Source organism: Homo sapiens, chromosome 1 (assembly GCF_000001405.40).
Source record: "Homo sapiens chromosome 1, GRCh38.p14 Primary Assembly".
Taxonomy (NCBI): Eukaryota; Metazoa; Chordata; class Mammalia; order Primates; family Hominidae; genus Homo; species Homo sapiens.
In genome coordinates this window covers 8,860,173-8,880,288 of record NC_000001.11, presented here as the reverse complement: position 1 = coordinate 8,880,288, position 20,116 = coordinate 8,860,173, and the positions used below count along the sequence as shown (strand labels likewise).

The following is a 20,116-nucleotide window of genomic DNA, read 5'->3' as shown; positions in this document are numbered from 1 at the left end:
AGGGCCACGCCTTAGAATTGCTCTGAGAGTACCAAGTGCCTGATTTCTTAGAGTCCTTACCAGTAGGAGATGTTGGCTGTTGATTTAGCTGCTGAGTCATGGGGCTGGGGATAGTGGTTTTCAGTAGCCAAAAACGTTAGTGTGTTGCTGGTGAAATCACAAACTCTGCTTGCAAAATTTTACTCTTTTTTTTTTTCTTTTTGCTGAATTTAATCCTAAAGTTCTTGCTTCTTACTCACTGGAAAGCAAATACTATGGTCTCAATAGGCCTTAATTTTTAACCAACGCCATGGAAACCTGTCTGTAGCTAAGAGGATAAAAATGCTAGGGGTTAAGGAAGAAAAGCAGGTTTTGCAGCTGACCAGAAGAAATAATTAAATTCAAGTACATATTTGAACACCTCTTTACAAGGAAATGAGGAAAATCAGATGTTTTAGTTCTCTTACAGACCAGCAGTAATGTTGAAAAATATAAAAGTAGCCGTAACAGAAAACGAAGTGATCATCTCAGCCCTCCCTTGGAGTGGGGGGATATATTGCGGAGCTGAGTTTTAATGGCTATCAGTTCTTGATCAGAAAAGTGAAATCACTCCAACTCCTTCCGTATTCCACGGAATATGACCCGTCTTGAACTTTGAGAAATTCCCCGGGTCTGTGTGAAATTCCAGTTCCAAATAATTCACATGAATGGTTCACAAGAATCCAGGTAGGTTTGATCTAGTTCCCTAGATGGGAATGAGAGGGATGTAAAATTTGAGAGGCAACATGACATGGACTAGAGAGAGAATGAATTAACACTGGGGAAGCACGTGGGGGCGCGCCGGACACCTAGAAGGCACTCAAAAAGTATGAGGTAGAATTAAAGGAAAGTGAACCTTCCTTTGGCTGTCTCGGCCTGATTCTCACCGCAGCAAGGAGAAAGGGACAGGGTCACCTTGGCGGGTGCCAGGCGGAGCCCGGCCAGACGGGCGCGGCTGGAGGGCAGCGCGCAGGCGCAGGCGGCGCACGTGGCCCCGGACACGCAGCGCTGCGGCGGGGCCAGCGCCCCAACCCCGGAGTGGGGCCGAGGCGCGCAGCCTCTCAACGACTCGACGCCAACGGGGTCTCTCGGATCGCGGCGCGAGGCAGGAGGGGCGGGGCAGGAGGGCCGCGGCAGGCCCGGGCCGCCAAAGTTGTCAGCAAGGTCGAGGGCCGGACGTGGGGCCCCAGAGCGACGCTGAGTGCGTGCGGGACTCGGAGTACGTGACGGAGCCCCGAGCTCTCATGCCCGCCACGCCGCCCCGGGCCATCCCCCGGAGCCCCGGCTCCGCACACCCCAGTTCGGCTCACCGGTCCTATCTGGGGCCAGAGTTTCGCCCGCACCACTACAGGGCCGCTGGGGAGTCGGGGCCCCCCAGATCTGCCCGCCTCAAGTCCGCGGGACGTCACCCCCCTTTCCACGCTACTGCAGCCGTCGCAGTCCCACCCCTTTCCGGGAGGTGAGGGAATGAGTGACGGCTCTCCCGACGAATGGCGAGGCGGAGCTGAGGGGGCGTGCCCCGGAGGCGGGAAGTGGGTGGGGCTCGCCTTAGCTAGGCAGGAAGTCGGCGCGGGCGGCGCGGACAGTATCTGTGGGTACCCGGAGCACGGAGATCTCGCCGGCTTTACGTTCACCTCGGTGTCTGCAGCACCCTCCGCTTCCTCTCCTAGGCGACGAGACCCAGTGGCTAGGTAATGATTGGGGAAGGGCTGAGCAACGGGCAGGCGGCGCAGGGCTTTTCTGGGCTTGTGGGGCTCTTTTCCCTCCGAGGGAGGCGGCGCGCCCGCAGGCCCAGCGTGGCGGGGTCGGGGGCACGTGCAAGCCGCCTCCCTGGGTGGGAACTGGCGCCCCCGCTCACCCCGAGGCCCGGGGCGGGGGCGCAATGCCAGGCGCACGTGCTGGGCCCCCGATTTCTTTGGAGGGGAAAGTGCAGATCAACACGTGATTACCGACTGCGGGGCCGAGTCACTGTCAGGGAAGGTCGGGAGCTGCACACGCGAGCTGCTTAGCACAGCGGGAGTTGGGAGTGGAAGTTGCTTTTCCATCGTAGCCAAGTGTAAGGTTTTTGGGATAGACGCAGACTTAGCGGCGGTGGCCACTCAGGCCAGGCCCTTCCTAAAATGGAGGAGGGCGGCGATAGTGGAGATGGCCACGAGGCTGCGGCCCCCTCCCCCACCGGTAGCCCCCGCCTCTCGCCCGCGCTCGCGGCCCGCGCTTCTGCCTAGTAAGCGGTGACTCATTTAACTCCGAGAAGGCACCTCTTGAGGAACCTACAGCAGAGCCGTTAGATCATTGGCAAGTCCTCCAGGCGACCTCGCCCAAGTTGGGCAAGAGCGGCTCCCCGGCTGGCCACCAAAAATCGGGCCTGATCTGATTTGGTTTTTTTTTTTTTTTGAGTTTTGCTATTGTTGCCCAGGCTGGAGTGCAATTGCGCGATCTCGGATCTCGGTTCACCGCAACCTCGGCCTCCTGGGTTCAAGCGATTCTCCTACCTCAGCCTCCCGAGTAGCTGGGATTACAGGCATGCGCCACCACGCCCGGCTAATTTTGTTTTTTTTTTGTTGTTGTTGTTGTTTTAGTAGAGGCGGTGTTTCACCATGTTGGCCAGGCTGGTCTTGAGCTCCCGACCTCAGGTGATCCGCCCGCCTCGGCCTCCCAAAGTGCTGGGATTACAGGCGTGAGCCACCGCGCTAGGCCAAGAAGGATGTATTTTAAGAAAGCTTCCTGTTCAATGTTCCCCTGCTCTGTGCGCTTCTCTGGGCGGTAGGGTCCATTGCTTCACTTGCCTTTCAGGCCCACCCGGGCCCTGACTGCTCCATTCATTTACCGTGTCCCTAATTCGGGGTTCCATCCAGGCAGCTAAAAAAGCTGTGAATGGTCCGGGCGCGGTGGCTCACGCCTGTAATCCGAGCACTTTGGGATGCCGAGGTGGGCCTCCTCAGGATCACCTGAGGTCGGGAGTTAGAGACCAGCCTGACCAACGTGGTGAAACCCCGTCTCTACTGAAAATACAAAAATCGACCAGGCGCGGTGGCTCACGCCTGTAATCCTAGCACTTTGGGAGGCCGAGGTGGGTGGCTCACGAGGTCAGGAGATCGAGACCATCCTACTCTACTAAACCCCATCTCTACTAAAAATACAAAAAATTAGCCGGGTGTGGTGGTGGGCGCCTGTAGTCCCAGCTACTCTGGAGGCGGAGCCTGCAGTGAGTCGAGATCGTGTCACTGCACTCTAGCCTGGGCGAAAGAGCGCGACTCCGTCTCAAAAAAAAAAAAAAATCACCTGGGCGTAATGGCAGGCGCCTGTAATCCCACCTACTCGGGAGGCTGAGACAGGAGGCTGAGGTTGCAGTGAGCCAAAATGGCGCCATTGCACTCCAGTCTGGGCGACAACAGCGAAACTCCGTCTCAAAAAATAAAAAAAAAATCACACTTTATTTTCACATCCTAAGACGTTTGTCTTTTTTTTTTTTTCTGAGACGGAGTCTCTCTGTCGCCCAGGCTGGAGTGTAGTGGCGCGATCTCGACTCACTGCAAGCTCCACCTCCCGGGTTCACACCATTCTTCTGCCTCAGCCTCCTCTCCTGACCTCGTGATCCACCCTCCTCGGCCTCCCAAAGTGCTGGGATTACAGGCGTGAGCCACCGCGCCCGGCCAAGACTTTCTTTCGTCTTAAGTCACTAAAATGAAAACAAAAGTACTGAGGCACCCTAATAAAATTGCCTTTAAAAGTATGACTGAAATACTCAAAGTATACCACAGTGGTGGCCTGGAGATGGGGCAGGGGGATATTGACTGGAAATGGCCTGAGATAACTTTTTGCAGTGATGGAAATGTTACTCGGGTATATAATTTGCCAAAACGCAAAATTAAATCTAAAAATATGTTTAAACAAATTTGCCTTTTTGGAACCTAGTAAAAAGTAAGTACCTTTTTTTGGCTAATGAATAAAACTCCATTGTTACATAGACAACAAAGCCACAGAAGTGACTTCAGTAAATAATTTTGAAAGTTAAAAACCTGCCACTTGCCACCTCAGGACATTCCAGAGAAGATGTTGGAGGGGAGCCCAGGTAGATAATGGCTTTAAACACTAAGTTCCTCTCACCCACCTCAGTTCTATAAGTTGTTCAGTTAGTTTCTTTGGAGAGCGCCAAGGAAAAAAGTAAGAATGGGTTTTTCTTTGAGGAATTGGTATTTGTTGTTCATTGCTGGAAATTCTTGTATTTTTTTTTTTAAGGTGGTGTTAAAGGAAGCCCCTTCCCTTGAAGTATCCTGGTGTTCAAAGAATCTTTCCTCTATTTACAAATTATAAAACCCCGTTGGGAAGAAATAATTAGATGTCATTATTGGCTGGTCCTGGTGGCTTACCCCTATAATCATCCTAGCATGCTTTGGGAGGCCAAGGCAGGGGAGGATCGCTTGAGCCCAGGAGTTTGAGAGCAGCCTGGGCAGCATAGTGAGACCGCCATCTCTTAAAAAAGTAACTAAAATAAAATAAAGATGTTATCATTAATGACATAACAACACTGAAGACCCAAGTACTGTGAAATTGGAAAGTCCCAGGAAGTGGCAGTAGCCAAGATCACACGGTCCAAGGACTTCATTGTTCCTGACTTCCAAACTCAGAATTTCTGATCAAATACCTACTAAGTGAATATTAATCTGAAGAATTATGTCCAAACTTCATTCACTATTTTGTTTTAATTCTGCTACAAGCAAGGTTTTCCCCTGGTCCCGCCACCCTCTTTTTGGCCCTAGGTGGTTTTGCTTGTGACCTTCATGTCTGTTCTTGGTTCCTTTCCATTCCCATGCCAGCCCTCATTGTTCACTCATGACAATAGCCAGTTTCAGACAGCTCCTGGGCCACTCTGCGTCGAGCAACACATTCATCTTTCTATTTGGATTTGATTCTCCCTGGGCACACACGTTTGTGGGCTTTTTCTCTCTCTTTTTTTTTTTTTCTTTTTTCTTACAGAACAAGACCTCAATTGCTAGGGTTTAACCCATTTATGCCAGAGGTTGCAAATCTTTTTTTGTGAAAAATCAGACCTTGGCAATGACTTGAGCAGTCGGATAAAAGTAACTCCCACGCCCTTAGCGTTCCAGTAATGGAATACTAGGCATAAAAAGGTTAAGGCCTTCCGCAGCTAGGCCCTAACTACTTAATTAGGAGAATTCTCACTGCTTTCCAGCAGGCTTTTCCCCCCACCCTAGCCAGCTTTCCTACATCCAGTATTTAGTCCAGTGCTGATTCTCTCTAGTCCACGAACCTCGGAAGTGATTCCTTGAATGAGTGAGGAAATGCAGCATTATGGCTTATGGAAAACATGAACTGTGTGTTTCTTCTACAGAAGTTCACCATGTCTATTCTCAAGATCCATGCCAGGGAGATCTTTGACTCTCGCGGGAATCCCACTGTTGAGGTTGATCTCTTCACCTCAAAAGGTATGTGCCACCTCCTTGGTTTCCATGGTTCCTTCCACCGTGCTTCATTTTAAAAATTTTCTACAAATGCTGGAGCCTTAGGAAAAAAAAAATCTGTTAAAGCTTTTCTTTCTGTCTGCACATGCTAGTAGGTTGTGATTCCTGACTGTGAGGGTTGGGGAATTTTTAGGCATGGAGCCAGTGTCTTGCTGTTTCTCGGCTTATTTTTTTCTTTTTCTTTTTCTTTTTTTTTTTTTTTTTTTTTTTGAGATGGAGTCTTGCTCTGTCACCCAGGCTGGAGTGCAGTGGCATGATTTCAGCTTACTGCAACCTCTGCCTCCCAGGTTCAAGCAATTCTTCTGTCTCAGCCTCCCAAGTAGCTGGGACTACAGGTGTGCACCACCACACCTGGCTAATTTTTGCATTTTTGGGAGAGACGGGGGTTTCACCATATTGGTCAGGCTGGTCTCGAACTCCTGACCTCACTCAGGTGATCTGCCCGCCTCTGCCTCCCAAAGTGCCGGCATTATAGGTGTGAGCCACCCCGCCTGATCCTGCCAGCTCCTTGGCTTAAAACCACATAAGTTGGCTCCTAAGTCAGTGAAGTAAGGAAGTAAGGTGATACCACAAGACCTTGTCCCTAAAGGGGCCCATCACTAGTTGTTGGCTGACAGCTTGCTGTGACCAAATGCAGGATACAGTGTGATAGGATGGTATCTCTTGATAAGGGGAGGGATAGCAGGTGTGAATATAGCACCTTTATCTCTGTGACTAGAAATCAGTCTTCAGCAAGGATCAAGGACAGTTTTTACCTGTAGGCTTTGGAATAGTCTGGAGGCTCTCATTTTTACCTGGCTGTCAATCCCTATAGGAGGAGTTTTCTTATGAAAAATTAGAGAATTGTGAAACTCCTTCCTTTAAGAAGAAAATCCAGTGCCTTTGTAGCTCTGTGTTACCTCCAGCACATGGCGCGATGGACAGAGTGGGTGAGGTTGGCAAAGGAGCTTCAGGCAGAATCACTCAGCGGTGCTAAACTCACAGAGAACTGCCAGTCGGAGCTGAGTCACCATCTGTGAGTCACAGGCCTAGCAGTGGAACCCCAGCCCTTCCCTTCCCCTTGCACCTCCCCTCCCCCTCAGGAAGAAAGGATCCTTGAGGCCTGACTTCGTTGGGCAAAAGAATGCCTGAGTTGGCTGCTTGCTGTGTGGGCTCTCAAGCACTGTGGGGTTTCTCACTGGCTTTATGGGGAACCCTGAGGGTTCTCACAGGATGCCAAGAATTCCCTTCATCCAGTAAGAGTGGTTTGCTTAGTCAATGGGTGGAACTTTCTACTTGGATATTAATGAACTTTAAGCAACAAAAGACCCCAGATGCTAGAAGATTGTTGGGAGTTGGACATTTTGAAATTGAAATGAATGGAACTTTCTCTTGTGTGTCTTAATCCTTTTCAAAAAACATGAAATGATGGACTTGCTCAGAACCTTTCATCTCTCTCTCTCCCTGTCTCATCAACTTTTTTAGAGCAGTTTTAGGTTCACAGCAGAAGCAGGCGGAAGGTGCAGAGGTACATAAACCCATGAGTACCCACTGCCTCTGCACATGCGCAGCCCCCCCATTGTCAGCATCCCCACTAGAGTGGTCAACATGCGTGAACACGTTATCATCACCAAAAGTCTGTAGACTCCAAGCCTCTTGTTTTCATCTTGTCTTTGCCTGATCCAGTGTAGGGTGGATATGTAGGGAGCCAGGGCAGCTTTCAAGAAGGAAGTATGACCTGTTGATAGCGCACACTGCAGTGCAGCAGGGAACACTGCTGGGTCCTTTGCTAGAAATATCTTGTTGGTTTCTCTGCAACATCTTCCTTGACACCATCTGTTCTTTTGCCTCCACCAAAGATTGCCCTTGTTACAGGTATAGGTTTCACCAGATGGCTGGTTTCAGTATCTGCAAGATTACTTGGTTCAGTTCTTACATTTATTAAACTGCGCATTTTATTATCTTTATTCCTTCCCCCCACATCCATCCTGTTTGCCAGTTTCCAGTTGGGCATAGAACCCCTAAAATAGCATTTAGCATTGTCCAAACTGAAACAAATGAGCTAGATACTCCTCCTGAGCCAGTTAAATTACCCTAATTTTATGCTTAACATCAATATAGTACCTGTCTGGGCATGGTGGCTCATGCCTGTAATCCCAGCATTTTGGGAGGCCGAGGTGGGCAGATCACCTGAGATCAGGAGTTCAAGACCAGCCTGGCCAACATGGTGAAACCCCATCTTTACTAAAAATAAAAAAACTAGCCGGGCGTGGTGGCAGGCTGCTGTAGTCCCAGTTGCTGGGGAGCCTGATGCAGGAGAATCGCTTGAACCCAGGAGGTGGAGATTGCAGTGAGCCAAGATCACGCCATACACTCTAGCCTGGGGGATAGAGCGAGATTCTGTCTCAAAAGAAAAAAAAAGTACCAGAACGTCTTCAATGCCCTGTGTGGCTCGCATTGGATTTCTCTTGGGCAGTGCTGCTGGAGTAATCCACAGGGCACCAATGCGAGCTTGTGAGGGATGCATATTTGCCTGGGTCAGAATCTACATTTTAACAAGACCTCCAGGTGGCATGTAGGCTCTGCTGTAGAACACTTTCTTTCTGCTAGAGGAATTAGTCATCTTTGCAGTAAGTTCTGCAGTACAGGATCATAAACATGTGAAAGGCATGAAGAACAGCCCAGAGCGTTTAATTCACACAGCTGGTAGGAGGAAGAAACAGCTCCCTAATGACAAATGCATCTGTGGGCGGGAGGGGACTTGGGATTGTGCTGGAACTGGATTTCTGAATTGCTACTACATCTTTTTTCCTCTCATCCAGGTCTCTTCAGAGCTGCTGTGCCCAGTGGTGCTTCAACTGGTATCTATGAGGCCCTAGAGCTCCGGGACAATGATAAGACTCGCTATATGGGGAAGGGTAAGCCTTAGAACCCACAGCCCATGGCCTCCCTGCTTCCAGCCCCATTCCTGGCCTTGCCCAGTCCTGTCCTCTCTGGGTGGCACTTGCACTTGCAGGTTTATGGCAGGTAAACCTGCTGTGACCCATGATGTTGATGGAAGCAGTGCACCACCTTGTGGACAGGAAAGTTGGTGTGTGGATTCCGGGGTTCCCGAGCCTGCATGCTCTGGGTCGAGAGTTCCAATGCTTGCTTCTATTGCAGTTTGTTCCCAATCTGCGAAATACTCCTTCACGGTTAGGACAGGAACCCAAGCATGAGAACAGGGCCTGTTAACTAAAGAAAAGTTTCCCCATCTCCCAGGAGGGTTCTGTGGGCCCTCCAGAGATCATCAGCCTCTTCACGGGCTAGAAAGGATCCAGGGAAGGTCTAACCAATGACCTGCCCTGAATGGTGAGCTGCAGGTGTGTCATTTAGTGTGATTTTCCTGTTGACTGACTCATAGGAGCCCTGCTCTGTGGCAGAGCTAGCCTCTGGCTGTATTCAAATTGACTTAGTGTGTGTGCAACATTGACCTTTCTAGAGATAGAACATGTGGCCAAATTACAGAAAAGCACATAGGGCTAGATCACGCATTCTCAGTGGGGCACCCGGAAAACTCCAAAAAGGCTGCAGGGAGGGGACAATGATGAAATCAGGTTGTGAAACACTGGGCTGGTGTCGCAGTGGTGGTGCTGGGTGTTCAGTCCCGCTTTAATGCTGTAAGAAGCACTCTACACACACGAACATGTTACCATTTGACCGTTGTTTAATGGCGTACGTGGGGACTTAGCCGGAGCAGGATGATGCTGTGCCTTGATGGTAATGAGTGCTCAGTAAGTAAGCATTTGTGGAAGATTGAACGCATGGCCCCTGAAATGCTCTCCTCTGCTTTCCTGCCCCCTCACTGTCTCTCACTCGCAGTCCTTAATCACCGGTTCTCTTCTGAGTCTCTCTCATTTTTCCTTCTTCATCCTCTGCTGGGCAGGCGTCTCCAGACCCATTAAGTATATTAATGAGTTCCTGGCACCAGCCCTGTGCACTCAGGTAACTGATTGAACAGCCTTTAGTCTGCAGTTGGCGTTTCCAGTGCATGGTCTTGCAAACTAACCTCCAGTCAGATCGTTCTGAGCCAGCTGCTGTTTTGTGTGGCTCTAACCCTCTGGGGTCCTAGGTAGGAGCACTCAGACTGGGCCGGAAAGTCCTCCGATTCTGGGGGGAAAGGGGAGAGGGGGAAGAGGTCCCACAGAAGGTCCCTTGGTGGGCTTCCGCGTCGGCCTCAACAGTGGTTCTCTCTAACAATGCTGCTCAAGCCTGTTTTAAAGTTAATGTCAGTAATTTGATTTGATTGTTCCTTCCAGGTGTCTCAAAGGCTGTTGAGCACATCAATAAAACTATTGCGCCTGCCCTGGTTAGCAAGGTAGGACCTGCCTCCTGATAACTAATGTGTCTAATGCCACCAGAGCGTCTCCCAGGCCCAGGGGCTTTCCTGTTTATGGAAGAGCTTATTCTGAGAGCTGTAGAAGCCTATTGGATTCCCTGTCACGCACGAGAACAATCCATGCATGACATAATTCTAACCTGCCCGCTGCCTCACCCCACTTTTGGGAGCAGATGGAATTGCATCAGAAGAATGAGACACTTCGAGCCCTGAGGTTTCTTCCCCCCTGCAACTCTCTGGACCTTTGAAGAAATTAAGATCCAGATTTTAAGAGTGGCTCTCAGGGGTGTTTGTGGTAGTGTCCATGGTGACTAATTTCTCATGAACTTTGGAATTATTTACTATAATTCTACTGACTTTAACAGTGGAGTTCCTGTTAAGTAAAATCTGGAAATCTCAGTATGTCAAACATAAAAGAGCTGCTGGAGGTGAAGTAGGGCTGGGGACCCAGCAACCCACCCGACTCTGCAGGTTTTATCTCATTTACCCTCCCTTCGGCCCGTCCCTCCGTAATTCCTGTGGCGCTCATCAGATGGGACTGGTTTGAAAACCCCTGTCTAAAAACACTCCGGGCCAGGTGCAGTGGCTCACACCTGTAATCCCAGCACTTTGGGAAGCTGAGGTGTGTGGATCACTTGAGGTCAGGAGTTGGAGACCAGTCTAGCCAACATGGTGAAACCCTATCTCTACTAAAAGTACAAAAATTGGCCGGGCATGGTGGTGCACGCCTGTAGTCCCAGCTACTTGGGAGTCTGAGACATGAGAATCGCTTGAAGCTGGGAGGCAGAGGTTGCAGTGAGCAGAGATTGTGCCACTGCACTCCAGCCTGGGCAACAGAGTGAGACTCTGTCTCAAAAAATAAAAATAACAAAGCTCTCTAGGCCCAGTCCAAGCCCAGCCACAGCCTCCGTCTATTCTTGAATCTAGTCCCTCTCCTCCATGAATTCATTCTGTACACGAGGGAAAAGGAGGAGTTCCTTTGTTGTCTCTGTCCCTGACTCGTTGGTTTAGGCCTGGCTTTTGTGGCACTCTGTAATTACTCCCTGCCCGACCAGCCCCCAGACAAAATGTCTTGTTACCGTTCTGTCTGCACCACCCCCTGCCAGTCTCCCGGACACCTCCACACATACCTTGTTCTCTGTCCCTTCATACCCCTGCATAGTGTGACTCACACGATGAGCAGGATCCCCTGACTTTTTTTTAACCCCCTAGAGAAACATACCAAACTGTTAGTGAGAATTGACCTCTGAAGCTGTGTGCTTGGGTAACTGCCTGCCTGTTGCAGTGATGCCTTGACAAAGCTGTGAAAGACACCAAATTGCTCATACAGCATGATGGGATCAGAGTTGATTTTCTTTGCATATTTTTTTATATCAAGCACATCATAGATAAAAATAATGCCTTGTTATTAATATATTAGTTTAAAATGGAATGCTGATTTTTGGCTGGGTGCAGTGGCTAACGCCTGTAATTCCAACACTTTAGGAGGACTTTAGGAGGCTGAGGTGGGCAGATCCCTTGAGGCCAGGAGTTTGAGACCAGCCTGGGCAACATGGCAAAGCCCATCTCTATAAAAAAAAAATATAAAAATTAGCCAGGCATGATGGTGCATGCCTATAGTCCCAGCTGAGTTTGGAGGATCATTTGAGCCCACGAGGTGGAGGTTGCAGTGAGCTGAGATCGTGACACTGCATTCCTGCCTTGGCAACAGAATGAGACTCTGTCTTAAAAAATAAAAATTAAAAAATTAAAAAGTAATACTGATTTTTATTGGATTACTTTGAGCCAGTTCTCAGTACGTCAGTTTTGTTACTTTATAGTCTCATCAAAAATTCATTTTGATCCATCATTAGACGCTTTGCTAAATGATTTCGGACTACCTGCAGAAATCATGCCTCCCATCAGAGGATGAAGATTTGCCATCTTTGCAGTTAGCCAAGAGTGAGCAGCAGAGCCTGCCTTTCAAGGGCTCAGCCTGCTTGAGTGAACAGTGAGCTTTGCTTATTTATTGCCTATGAAAGCCATGTTCCTGGGTAGCAGTGGTCTACATAGCACATACCTGACAGTTCTCTTGGGTGTAAAGTCACTTTGGGCTCCCTGGGTAGACTATTAACCTTTTGTTACAAAAGCATTGTCTGAGAGTGCCATCTCTGTTGCATTGTTGGGTGAATGCCTGATAACCATCAAAGCAAGCAGAAGGCAGTTTTTTGTCTCCCCACTGATTTTTGTCCTCCACTTTTTTTGCTTATAAAACAAACATCACAGAATTGATTTTGATATTACACAGTTCCAAAGTCAGATTCCATGGTAGGGGAGCAAAGGCTATGCAGATAAGAGTGGCCCCAACCCCTCATTCTCCCCTCTCCCTCGTAGAAACTGAACGTCACAGAACAAGAGAAGATTGACAAACTGATGATCGAGATGGATGGAACAGAAAATAAATGTGAGTGGCCTGAGGTGGCGTCTTTACTGGGGAAGATCATGAAGTCTCCTGAAGATTTTAAAACCTTTCAGGAAGAGGCCCATGATCTTAGTGATGAGCTACATGAGCCTGTGGTCTCTTCCCATTTCTTTGCTTTACTCTTAAGAAATCACACTTTTGGCCAGGTGCGGTGGCTCACGCCTGTAATCCCAACACTTTAGGAGGCTGAGGCAGGTGGATCACGAGGTCAGGAGATCGAGACCATCCTGGCCAACGTGGTGAAACCCCGTCTCCACTAAAAAATACAAAAAATTAGCCAGGCCTGGTGGTGGGCGCCTGTAGTCCCAGCAGGAGAATGGTCCCGGGCGGAGCTTGCAGTAAGCCAAGATCCTGCCGCTGCACTGCAGCCTGGGCAATAGAGTGAGACTCTGTCTCAAAAAAAAAGAAAAAAAAAAATTTTTTTTGAATATCAGGTGCAAAACCAGGTGACAATAGCCTGTCAGTTTGGTTACTCAGAAGAGCTTTGCTCCTTATAATGAATTCAGCAATTCCTACTGTTGGCTGGAGTTGGGCTCTGTCTTAGAGGGGAAAAGCAGTGGTGAGTCCACATAGAATGCTATTTGTATTTCTAGTAACAGTGAAATGGAGGTGTGATGGGGGAGGAGATGGTGCAGAATACAACCCTCAGGGCAGTACAGCAGGAGAAAAGCTGGTGAATCAGAAATGACTTCATTCCACTCGGTTCTCTTCTGTTCTAGCTAAGTTTGGTGCGAACGCCATTCTGGGGGTGTCCCTTGCCGTCTGCAAAGCTGGTGCCGTTGAGAAGGGGGTCCCCCTGTACCGCCACATCGCTGACTTGGCTGGCAACTCTGAAGTCATCCTGCCAGTCCCGGTGAGTGGTTTATTGGAACTTCCCAAGCAAGGAGTTGGGGGTTTCAGCTTGCTGTTGGGGACCCGAGACCTCCTATGCCTTGATATCCTAACACATGTGACTCTCCCAGCACAGCTCTGCCCCTTGTTAAGTGTGACCTTGAGCAGGTAACTCAACTTGCCTGTGCCCCAGGTCCTTTATCTGCAATGGAGGCTCGGGGAGGAAATGACAGCAGTACTTTCCTTGCTAGGCTGTGAGCATTACCTGACATAGTCACAAGTGTTTCTCCTGGTGATGATGAATTTGCAGTTATCAAAATAGACCTGGCGTGAACTGGTTGCAGTAGCGCACACCTGTAGTCCCAGCTAATCAAGAGGCTGAGGCAGGAGGATCACTTAAACCCAAGAGTTTGAGACCAGCCTCTAGGCAAGACCAGTATAGTGAAACCCTGTCTCTAAAAACATGAGTCAGAGACCTGGTGAGCATTTCACAGCACCCTGGCCCCTCTGGTGCTCCTCAAGAAGCAAGTCTTGGGCTCATCTGTGAGCTAGATTGGGATGGTAGGACCAGAGGGGCTTACTGCCCTGTGGGGCTCTCTGGACCCAGTGCCATGCTTCTCTGCTCTGCTCTCCCCAGGCGTTCAATGTCATCAATGGCGGTTCTCATGCTGGCAACAAGCTGGCCATGCAGGAGTTCATGATCCTCCCAGTCGGTGCAGCAAACTTCAGGGAAGCCATGCGCATTGGAGCAGAGGTTTACCACAACCTGAAGAATGTCATCAAGGAGAAATATGGGAAAGATGCCACCAATGTGGGGGATGAAGGCGGGTTTGCTCCCAACATCCTGGAGAATAAAGAAGGTAAAGGCGCTAGGGAACCGCCCCCCCACCCAGCCCTGCAGCGCCAGCTCCCTCTGTTGGGGGGTCGTCCACACCTGCCACTGTGGAAATCTATTCTTTCCACCTGTAGTTTGTAAAGATCAAGACCCTTCAAACGGTTTTAAGGAGGAAAAGGGGAGCTTCATTTTATTTTACTTATTTTTTTCTTTTTTTTTTTTTTTTTGAGATGGAGTCTCTGTCGCCCAGGCTGGAGTGCAGTGGCGCAATCTCGGCTCACTACAACTTCCGCCTCCTGGGCTCAAGTGATACCTACTAGTTTGGGGAGCCAAGTGTCTGTCCGTCTGTCCTGCTGGCAGGGCAGCTTAGCCATGGACAGCAGACCCTGAGCCTGAGCTCTCAACGGCACAGCCTGGCGGGAGGATCCTGCCATCCCGGGCTGCCTCCACTGGGCTTTCTCTTGGACCCCGCTTCTGCTCTATTTAAGGCCTGTGCCTTGGGACAGCTGATCTCAGCTGCTTACTGTAACTGTATCTTGGCCAGGACAGCTGTTCCTGGGCACTAAATTTGGGAGCATTTGTCAGTGAGAAGGGCTGCTTTCTTGGAAAGAGAGCTGAATTTCCCATTTTGTATGCACCAAGAACTCTGACCCATGGTTTCTTGCCCCAAAGCAGAAAAAAAGTAACTGATGTCAGAACTACTGGTTGGGGCCTGAACACCTGTTGATCTTTGTGTTACAGTCCCTGTGTAGCAGCTGTTGAAGGGAAGTTTTCTCTGTACCTACCTGTTTTCCAAACCTGTTGTCACCATCTCTTCCCAGGCCTGGAGCTGCTGAAGACTGCTATTGGGAAAGCTGGCTACACTGATAAGGTGGTCATCGGCATGGACGTAGCGGCCTCCGAGTTCTTCAGGTCTGGGAAGTATGACCTGGACTTCAAGTCTCCCGATGACCCCAGCAGGTACATCTCGCCTGACCAGCTGGCTGACCTGTACAAGTCCTTCATCAAGGACTACCCAGGTGAGTGTTCCCCGAGTGCCATCTCCCTTTCCTGCCACTGACCTGCAGCAGGGCAGCTGGAGCATCTGGCTGGCTGGTGATGGCTGCAAGGAGGGGATGGGGAGGGAGTGTCTGAACTTCCAGCTCCCGTAGGGGATTCACCACTGGGTTTGCCCCCAGTTGTGCATACACAGGGCTTCACAGAGGTTCTTGTGTAGCTAAGGAGCTCGGGTGCCAGCAGCGACATTGCATAATAAGTTGTTCACAGTCAGGAGCAGAGGCAGTCTGTGCTCCATTAGACAGGTGAGGGAACCAAGCCTTCAGAATCAGAACAGCCACTTGGTACTGAGATGTATCATGCTTCCTGTGAGCTGGGAATATTCATTTTAGGCTGTGTGTGTGCACAGGATAGAGACTGTGACCACCTTTCTACAGGAGAGGAAGCTGATGGCTGGCTGAATAATCTGCCCGAGAGCACACAGCAAATGGTGGGGCAAGAATTCAGACCAGGAAATCTGACTCCAGAGTCTGTGTGTTTAACCACTACCCTAAATAACTTGGTCAAGGTTGAGCCAAGACCCAAACTCAGGTCTTCTCACTTCTGAGTCTGTGGCTCCATTCTGATTTTCAGTGGCACTAAACTCAAACAACCCTAGACAAAAAGTGTCCTCTTCTTACAGGTCTTAAACAAAATTTTTGAGGCTGGGCATATGGTGGCTCACGCCTGGAATCCTAGCACTTGGAGAGGCTGAAACGGCATCACTTGAGCCCAGGAGTTTGAGATCAGCCTAGGGAACATAGCAAGACTCCATTGCTACAAAAAAATAAAATAAAATAAGTAGCTGGGTAGGTTGGCATACCCCTATAGTCCCAGCGACTCAGGAAGCTGAGGTGGGAGGATCATTTGATCCCAGGATTTCACAGCTGCACTTAGCTATGATTGCACCCCTGCACTCAAGCCTGGGTGACAGAGTGAGATTTTTTTTGTTTTAGATCTATAGATACCCAGGATTGTGGGTGACTTTTGTCCCCTGCTGCAGGAGTAGGCTGGGGCACATTGTTTCAAGGATCAGTTGGGGAGCTGTCCCCATCCTATGCTTTTGGGCATTGTGAGGCCAGGCGAGCAGCAAGTCAAGGGGGAAGCAAGGCTGGGCATTGCGGTGGAGCACACTGGGAGGATCACACTGATGAAGCGTGTCCCTCCTTTCCTTAGTGGTGTCTATCGAAGATCCCTTTGACCAGGATGACTGGGGAGCTTGGCAGAAGTTCACAGCCAGTGCAGGAATCCAGGTAGTGGGGGATGATCTCACAGTGACCAACCCAAAGAGGATCGCCAAGGCCGTGAACGAGAAGTCCTGCAACTGCCTCCTGCTCAAAGTCAACCAGATTGGCTCCGTGACCGAGTCTCTTCAGGCGTAAGTGTCTTCCCAGGCGAGCAGCTTTCCCGCAGCTACGGCTTGTGAATCAGAAAAGGGCCCTTTTGTTCTGGTGATGGGGAATCCTGCTGGCCAGAATGTAGGACTCGCTGGAATTTTAACAGGTTTTGTGTTTGAACTCAGGAGCCTTTTAAATTAAACAATTGGGGCCTGTAATCCCAACATTTTGGGAGGCCAAGGCAGGAGGATCACTTGAGCTCGGGAGCTCAAGACCAGCCTGGGCAACATAGCAAGTAGTTGTATTCTGTGAAGAGCTCTGTCAGAGAACACTAATCTTTCTCCCATCAAGGGAGGCTGAACCCAGTGTTTCAACTATGACAGGAGGGCTAAGAAGGTCCTGGGGGTGGAAGAGTTCAGGGGAGGGTGAGGGTTCTCCTCTGTGCTCTTGACAAAGCCCAGGCATGGAGGGCTTTAGCCATTAACAGCCCCTCCACTGCTTTCCTGCTGGCACCGAGGGGTAATGGCATTGGGGGTTATGGAACCAGAAAATGGGATCATGCCATCTGGGTTGTTCCTTGGCTTCCAGGTGCAAGCTGGCCCAGGCCAATGGTTGGGGCGTCATGGTGTCTCATCGTTCGGGGGAGACTGAAGATACCTTCATCGCTGACCTGGTTGTGGGGCTGTGCACTGGGCAGGTAAGAATGAGCGTCTCCTCCTTTCTTCTCTGACCTCAACTTCCTAGGAAGACCCAAAACCAGTGAGGCTCCATGTCTGTCCCCGTTTTGCTCATGTCCCCTGAGTCAGTGCTCTTGTTTCTGAGGCTGAACAGAATGGGGGCATGAGCGCCCTGCCTGTATGTTGTGGCCCCCACTTTCCTAGCATCAGATCCTCTAGAAATTCTCTCTCTGACACCACACCCTCTCCCTGCCAGAAATGCCTGCAAAGCTTGTCCGCTGTAAGCAAATGGCCTTTCTTTTCTCCTAGATCAAGACTGGTGCCCCTTGCCGATCTGAGCGCTTGGCCAAGTACAACCAGCTCCTCAGGTAAGGAGGGCTCCTGAGAACAAGGGGCCTGTGGTTCACTAGGTGGGGGCCTGCACTCAGTGTAGGCACTGCCCTCCCCCAGGAGCTCCTGGCTCTGGGAACATGTACAGGTGCAGGTGCACAGTGCAGACAGCCAGGCCCTGAGCAGGCTTAGGTCAGGACAGAGTTAGGCCTAGACTCCCCCTACCCACCCACTGCAGCGCCACCAGAGGCAGGAGCCTGTTCCACACAGTGCTGCCCTCTTCTGGTGAGAAAGAATGGGACCCCCTTTGACAGCTGATGCATGACTTTCTTAGAGCTTTCAGAGAGCTCCTTCATATGATCTGTTTCAGCGCATTTAACCCCTGTTTGTGGATGTGGAGCCAGGGCTGGGAGGGAGGAAGAAAAGGCCGAAGGGCACATGGCTGGGTTTCCACTTGTGAGCGCTGTGGGGCTGTTCTGGTCTCCCTTTCCTGTCTGTGTCCTTGGGAAGCCCCTGAACACCAGGAGACTTGTCCCCCCGCCCGCCACCCCGCTAAGTTCTCCCATATTACCCCTTCATTCAAACTGTATCCTGGAAATTTTCAAACATATACAAAAAAGCAGGTGAACAGTAGACGCAGGGCTTTTTTGTTGTTTTGTTTGTTTGAGACAGGGTCTTGCCATGTCACTCAGGCTGGAGTGCAGTGGGGCAGTCATAGCTCACTGCAGCCTCAAACTCCCATTCTTTTTTTGCTGGGGAATTTTATTTTTATTTTTTTGAGAGGGATCTCACTCTGTCGCCCAGGCTGGAGTGCAGTGGCTCAGTCTTGGCTCACTGCAACCTCTGCCTCCCAGATTCAAGCAATTCTCCTGTCTGAGCCTCCCGAGTAGCTGGGATTACAGGTGCCCACCACCATGCCTGGCTAATTGTTTTGTATTTTTAATAGAGACGGGGTTTCACCATATTGGTCAAGCTGACCTCGGGTGATCCTCCCACTGTGCCTGGCCCCAAAATGTGTTGGCCTTTTTTTTTTTTTTTTTTTTTAACATCAAGATCCAAACAGCTCACACATTTTGTCTTTTAATAAGGTCACTCTCCTTTTCTCCCCATGCCATTTATTTGTTGTCCCTTCAATATTTTTTAAAAAACAAAAGCATTAGAATTTTTATATTCCAAGAAATGGCAATGCTGACATTTTACTTTGCTCCTCTGCAACACTGACGGGGAGAGGAGAGGAAGAGAAGGGGCGGTGGGTGGAGGGCACCTAGCATGGTGAGTTGGGATGAGGAGAACTAAATACTTTTCTATATCTGGCTTCTCAGAGAAGCACAAGTTTAGAGGGTTTAAAGAAGGTGGACAAACTGGAGAGTTCTGTGTTCTCAACTTCCCAGGAGTGGGGCTGTGTCTTTGACCACATCTAGGATGGGAAAACTTAAAACTTGAGGTCTGACTTTTCTTTTTTCCTCCCCATCTCTTTACCTTTCTCCTTCCCAAGAATTGAAGAGGAGCTGGGCAGCAAGGCTAAGTTTGCCGGCAGGAACTTCAGAAACCCCTTGGCCAAGTAAGCTGTGGGCAGGCAAGCCCTTCGGTCACCTGTTGGCTACACAGACCCCTCCCCTCGTGTCAGCTCAGGCAGCTCGAGGCCCCCGACCAACACTTGCAGGGGTCCCTGCTAGTTAGCGCCCCACCGCCGTGGAGTTCGTACCGCTTCCTTAGAACTTCTACAGAAGCCAAGCTCCCTGGAGCCCTGTTGGCAGCTCTAGCTTTGCAGTCGTGTAATTGGCCCAAGTCATTGTTTTTCTCGCCTCACTTTCCACCAAGTGTCTAGAGTCATGTGAGCCTCGTGTCATCTCCGGGGTGGCCACAGGCTAGATCCCCGGTGGTTTTGTGCTCAAAATAAAAAGCCTCAGTGACCCATGAGAATACTCCGTGTGCCTGTGTATGTCTGGAACAATCTGGGTCTGTCCTTAGTGTTCAGGGGCCCCTGGCGAAAGGGTGTCGGCCTTTGAGAACCAAGGTTTGGTGTCGTAACAGAAAAGGATGAGGATCCATTGGGGTCATTTTCCTGGGTCCTTGGGAAGGGAACCAGAGGCAAAGGCAAGAGAAGAGACATACACGGTCCCTCCAGGATAGTGGGGTCAAAACAGAGTCTAAGCTGGAAGGCAGAGCGAGACTTTGTTTGGACACCTTGTTTGGAAGAAACTTCAAATGCAGGCCTATTTGTAGATAATCTTAAGGATGGTAGCTACTAGGTTACACAGCCATATTCAGACCAGAAGGACTTCAGGGTAAAGGTGACCATCCTGGGAAGAGATGTTCTCTTCCCAGGGTCTCTTCCTGGGGAAAGCAGGTGAAAGAAGGATTAAATGGGAGCTCTGGGCAGGAAGGCAGAAGGGCATCAAGAAGACCTCAGGACCCGATTTAAATGAATGAATTCCACTCCTCGGTTTCTCAAGCTTCAGGTTTCATGTGTCCGGTAGCTGCCATTTGTAGCTGCTGCCCACTGCATTGGATTAAGCAGATGGAAAACTTGAATGTTGCAGCAAGTACTGTTCTAGGGTAATGCTGAACACGGGGTGTGAAGAATACGTTTATTAAAAAGTGAGAGATGAAGCGAGTTGTAGTGGCTCATGCCTATAATCCCAGCACTTTGGGAGGCCAGGGCAGGCGGATCATCTGAGGTCAGAAGTTCAAGACCAGCCTGGCCAATATGGCAAAACCCCGCCTGTACTAAAAATACAAAAATGAGGCC

At 50.0% G+C, this 20,116-nt stretch overlaps 1 protein-coding gene, 1 long non-coding RNA gene and 1 other non-coding gene across 5 annotated transcripts, besides 13 other annotated features; 2 read left to right on the top strand and 1 right to left on the bottom strand.

Moving 5' to 3' along the window:
• ENO1-AS1 (ENO1 antisense RNA 1) lies at positions 404 to 1,454 on the bottom strand. The gene is made up of 2 exons (NR_038351.1): positions 1,329 to 1,454; positions 404 to 724 (listed from the first exon to the last, which is right to left on the bottom strand). It is a non-coding gene; the product is annotated as an ENO1 antisense RNA 1 (long non-coding RNA).
• Positions 880 to 1,129: a silencer, noted in NCBI's record as "silent region_206". NCBI's record gives its function as "represses an Ori minimal core promoter by ATAC-STARR-seq in GM12878 lymphoblastoid cells {active_cell/tissue: GM12878}" and the evidence as "EXISTENCE:reporter gene assay evidence [ECO:0000049][PMID:35858748]".
• Positions 880 to 1,579: a biological region, named in NCBI's record as "H3K27ac hESC enhancer GRCh37_chr1:8938769-8939360".
• Positions 988 to 1,579: an enhancer, noted in NCBI's record as "H3K27ac hESC enhancer chr1:8938769-8939360 (GRCh37/hg19 assembly coordinates)". NCBI's record gives its function as "activates a minimal SCP1, AML or CMV promoter by ChIP-STARR-seq in primed H9 embryonic stem cells {active_cell/tissue: H9 hESC(primed)}" and the evidence as "EXISTENCE:reporter gene assay evidence [ECO:0000049][PMID:30033119]".
• Positions 1,580 to 2,173: an enhancer, noted in NCBI's record as "H3K27ac hESC enhancer chr1:8938175-8938768 (GRCh37/hg19 assembly coordinates)". NCBI's record gives its function as "activates a minimal SCP1, AML or CMV promoter by ChIP-STARR-seq in naive and primed H9 embryonic stem cells {active_cell/tissue: H9 hESC(naive and primed)}" and the evidence as "EXISTENCE:reporter gene assay evidence [ECO:0000049][PMID:30033119]".
• Positions 1,580 to 2,229: a biological region, named in NCBI's record as "H3K27ac hESC enhancer GRCh37_chr1:8938175-8938768".
• Positions 1,603 to 19,289, top strand: ENO1 (enolase 1). 3 transcript variants are annotated; one of them, NM_001428.5, is made up of 12 exons: positions 1,603 to 1,709; positions 5,372 to 5,465; positions 8,303 to 8,398; positions 9,779 to 9,837; positions 12,232 to 12,301; positions 13,039 to 13,172; positions 13,788 to 14,010; positions 14,807 to 15,004; positions 16,197 to 16,398; positions 16,946 to 17,054; positions 17,344 to 17,402; positions 18,860 to 19,289. In NM_001428.5, exons 2-12 carry the CDS (start codon positions 5,381 to 5,383, stop codon positions 18,927 to 18,929), a joined length of 1,305 nt encoding a protein of 434 aa, NP_001419.1. In that variant the 5' UTR covers positions 1,603 to 1,709; positions 5,372 to 5,380; the 3' UTR covers positions 18,930 to 19,289. The 3 variants fall into 3 exon arrangements, with proteins under 3 accessions (NP_001419.1, NP_001340275.1, NP_001188412.1); NM_001353346.3 differs by lacking the exon at positions 9,779 to 9,837 and adding an exon at positions 9,406 to 9,464; NM_001201483.4 differs by having other exon boundaries at positions 8,303 to 9,837.
• Positions 1,850 to 1,899: a silencer, noted in NCBI's record as "silent region_205". NCBI's record gives its function as "represses an Ori minimal core promoter by ATAC-STARR-seq in GM12878 lymphoblastoid cells {active_cell/tissue: GM12878}" and the evidence as "EXISTENCE:reporter gene assay evidence [ECO:0000049][PMID:35858748]".
• Positions 2,110 to 2,229: a silencer, noted in NCBI's record as "silent region_204". NCBI's record gives its function as "represses an Ori minimal core promoter by ATAC-STARR-seq in GM12878 lymphoblastoid cells {active_cell/tissue: GM12878}" and the evidence as "EXISTENCE:reporter gene assay evidence [ECO:0000049][PMID:35858748]".
• Positions 2,174 to 2,766: an enhancer, noted in NCBI's record as "H3K27ac hESC enhancer chr1:8937582-8938174 (GRCh37/hg19 assembly coordinates)". NCBI's record gives its function as "activates a minimal SCP1, AML or CMV promoter by ChIP-STARR-seq in primed H9 embryonic stem cells {active_cell/tissue: H9 hESC(primed)}" and the evidence as "EXISTENCE:reporter gene assay evidence [ECO:0000049][PMID:30033119]".
• Positions 5,810 to 7,009: an enhancer, noted in NCBI's record as "MED14-independent group 3 enhancer chr1:8933339-8934538 (GRCh37/hg19 assembly coordinates)". NCBI's record gives its function as "activates an origin of replication core promoter dependent on BRD2, BRD4, P300/CBP and CDK7 cofactors, and independent of MED14, by STARR-seq in HCT116 cells {active_cell/tissue: HCT116}" and the evidence as "EXISTENCE:reporter gene assay evidence [ECO:0000049][PMID:35650434]".
• Positions 5,810 to 7,189: a biological region, named in NCBI's record as "MED14-independent group 3 enhancer GRCh37_chr1:8933339-8934538".
• Positions 6,400 to 7,189: an enhancer, noted in NCBI's record as "OCT4-NANOG-H3K27ac hESC enhancer chr1:8933159-8933948 (GRCh37/hg19 assembly coordinates)". NCBI's record gives its function as "activates a minimal SCP1, AML or CMV promoter by ChIP-STARR-seq in naive H9 embryonic stem cells {active_cell/tissue: H9 hESC(naive)}" and the evidence as "EXISTENCE:reporter gene assay evidence [ECO:0000049][PMID:30033119]".
• On the top strand, positions 13,699 to 13,787 carry MIR6728 (microRNA 6728). The gene has a single exon (NR_106786.1). It is a non-coding gene; the product is annotated as a microRNA 6728 (primary transcript).
• Positions 13,898 to 14,733: an enhancer, noted in NCBI's record as "H3K4me1 hESC enhancer chr1:8925615-8926450 (GRCh37/hg19 assembly coordinates)". NCBI's record gives its function as "activates a minimal SCP1, AML or CMV promoter by ChIP-STARR-seq in naive H9 embryonic stem cells {active_cell/tissue: H9 hESC(naive)}" and the evidence as "EXISTENCE:reporter gene assay evidence [ECO:0000049][PMID:30033119]".
• Positions 17,465 to 17,759: an enhancer, noted in NCBI's record as "tiled region #9811; HepG2 Activating DNase unmatched - State 25:Art, and K562 Activating DNase unmatched - State 25:Art". NCBI's record gives its function as "activates a minimal TATA promoter and a strong SV40 promoter by Sharpr-MPRA in HepG2 and K562 cells {active_cell/tissue: HepG2 | K562}" and the evidence as "EXISTENCE:reporter gene assay evidence [ECO:0000049][PMID:27701403]".

Coding starts and splice junctions, on each gene's coding strand:
- ENO1 (NM_001428.5), top strand. CDS start 5,381: ATGTCTATTCTCAAGATCCATGCCAGGGAGATCTTTGACTCTCGCGGG. Junction 9,838..12,231: donor CGCCTGCCCTGGTTAGCAAG/GTAGGACCTGCC, acceptor TCTCCCTCGTAG/AAACTGAACGTCACAGAACA. Junction 17,403..18,859: donor AAGTACAACCAGCTCCTCAG/GTAAGGAGGGCT, acceptor CTCCTTCCCAAG/AATTGAAGAGGAGCTGGGCA.